The sequence below is a fragment of the Homo sapiens genome, chromosome 3, assembly GCF_000001405.40.
Source record: "Homo sapiens chromosome 3, GRCh38.p14 Primary Assembly".
NCBI classification, from domain to species: domain Eukaryota; kingdom Metazoa; phylum Chordata; class Mammalia; order Primates; family Hominidae; genus Homo; species Homo sapiens.
In genome coordinates, this window is record NC_000003.12 from 5,662,319 (window position 1) to 5,664,795 (window position 2,477).

Genomic DNA, 2,477 nt, shown 5'->3' on the forward strand with positions numbered 1-2,477 from the left:
TTGTGTCCATGTGATCGCATCATTCAGCTCCCATTAATAAGTGAGAACATGCAGTGTTTGGTTTTCTGTTCCTGTGTGAGTCTGCTGAGGATAACTGTGCCACACACTGTTTAACAACCAGATTTCATGTGAACTCACCTCATCACGAAGGGGATGGTGTTAAGTCATGCATGAGGGATCTGCTCCCATGATCCAGACACCTCCCACCAGGCCCCAGCTTCAGTACTGGGGATTACATTTCAACATGAAATTTGGCAAGGACACAGATCCAAACCATTTAAGGTAGGTAGATAGTATGACCTTTAAGTAGCACCTGTAAATAACTGCTGGCTTTACACCCTTAAAAAAGACTATCACTAAACTCTTGGTGATCACAACTGGAGGAAGTATATGGAGTGGAAGATGATGAGACTTAGGTGAAGAGCTCTGTCTTGAAATCTCAAACTCTGGCATCACGGTGATGGCTCATGTTAAAGTAGAGGGGCCTTTGTTTTCAGATACCTTCTGGAGGGTTCTTCCTGAGATGCAACAAGGAGATCTTGTCCTTCTGGCTTCTTGAGGTGATGCTGATGTTGTTCGACAGGGCTGATTCCTAGGGGATGGTGGTACATATCCGGGCCTCCTGTGGAAGTGCTCATGAATTAGTCATTTTTGTCACTCCAGTTCTTTCTCAGCTCCCTACCCCCAAGGCTGCTTTCTCAGCAGTACCACTTGAAGTATCTTCCTGCATTTTTGGTCTGCCATATTTTTATTACTGTAATTCTTTGTACTACTCCTTGCTGGTCCTCTGCCATTAGGTGGGTATTCTATAGCTAAATTATAGTACTTGGAGAATGAAATTTTTCCAGTATTTTGCCCCTATGGTGTGATAACTTCTCTAACTTGAAGTAAAAAATTGATTTTGAAATTTCGACATTAAGCTTCCAAATGGCCTAACTTTGCTTCCAAATGGCCTAACTTTGGAATTATAAGCTTCCAAATTATTATTTGGAATTATAAGCTTCCAAATGGCCTAACTTTGCATTTTCTGCCTGATGTTTAAGTTACTTGCTTACCAATTTTTTTTTCTAAAAGATTTTTACCTTTTTGTATATGGGCCTTTTATTGTTGCCTCAGAGAGCTTCCATTGAAAGGTATATATATATTTATTACATGTGATTTTTCAATGTGAGATTTTAAAGTGGGTTTGCTAGGCTTTTGGGCTTCAAAGGTCTAAGAGTCAGATTCTGAGATGTTTAAGTGTAATTGTTTGCTTTATTCTCTGCAGCCTCTAGCAGGTGCTTTTAATCAGTATGGCTAAATTTCATAGTTAGGTATCAAGGATTTCATTTCCAAAGCAGGAGAGAATTCTGGATCAACTCTTAGCTGCATTTCAGTGATATTGTTTTCTTCTGCTGGGTGCACCAAGTTTATGAAAGAGAGCACTGGCATATGACACCAATAGAAAAACTGTCAACAATGAGACTTTCCCATTACGTGTTTTCACTTCCCACATTGACAGTCTGATGTCATGCACTATGATTCTTTGAGTGCTGTTGACTTCAAGGTATCCATGACTTTTCTTTTCTTATAAAACTCAATCAGATTGACTTCCAGGATGGTGGTATGAGCAGCAGAGTGGACCTTCTTCCCAGTGAAACAACTATTTCACTGCTGAAAATTATTTTTTTTAAATAAAAAGTCTTCGGAGATTGTCCTAAGGATATATAGAAAATGGAGAGACATGAAAAATCTACTAAACCTTGGTAAGAATTATGAGATCATTTGAGCTATGATCTGCCTCCTCAATCCCCCTCCCCCAGCTCAGTGTGGTAGAAACCATACTCCAGGCATGTGTAACCAAGAAGATGAGTTTCTTTCTTCCACGACTCCTAGTCTAGTGCTGCTGTTTTACGACAGGAGGGCATGCCACTGACATCTCTCATCCTGTCTCCTCAGTTTTGTGCTGCAGAAGCTCCATTTTGGGCAGATGCCGTCAAGCTAGCTAGTCTCCTTACCCAAAACCAGTACTCACTCTTATGGCTGGAGTTCCACTCAGGCATGTGTTAGGCTGTTCTCACATTGCTATAGAGATACCTGAGACTGGTTAATTTATAGGAAAAGAGGTTTAATTGGCTTATGGTTCTGCAGCTGTACAGGCAGCATGACACTGACATCTGCTTCTGGGGAGGTCTGAGGGAGCTTTTACTTATGGCATAAGGTAAAGTGGGAGCTAGCACATCATGTGGTGGGAGCAGGAGCAAGAGAAGGGGGAAGTGCCCCATGCTTTGAAACAACCAGATATCATTAGAATTCACTCACTATGGTGAAGAGAGCACCAAGTCATGAGGGATCGACTGCATGACCCAAACACCTCCCACCTGGCCCTACCACCAACATTGGAGATTACATTTTAACATGGAATTTACACAGGTCACATATCCAAACTGTATCAAGGAATGACAGGCCAAGAATACTGGGCTCTGAAGCACCCACCC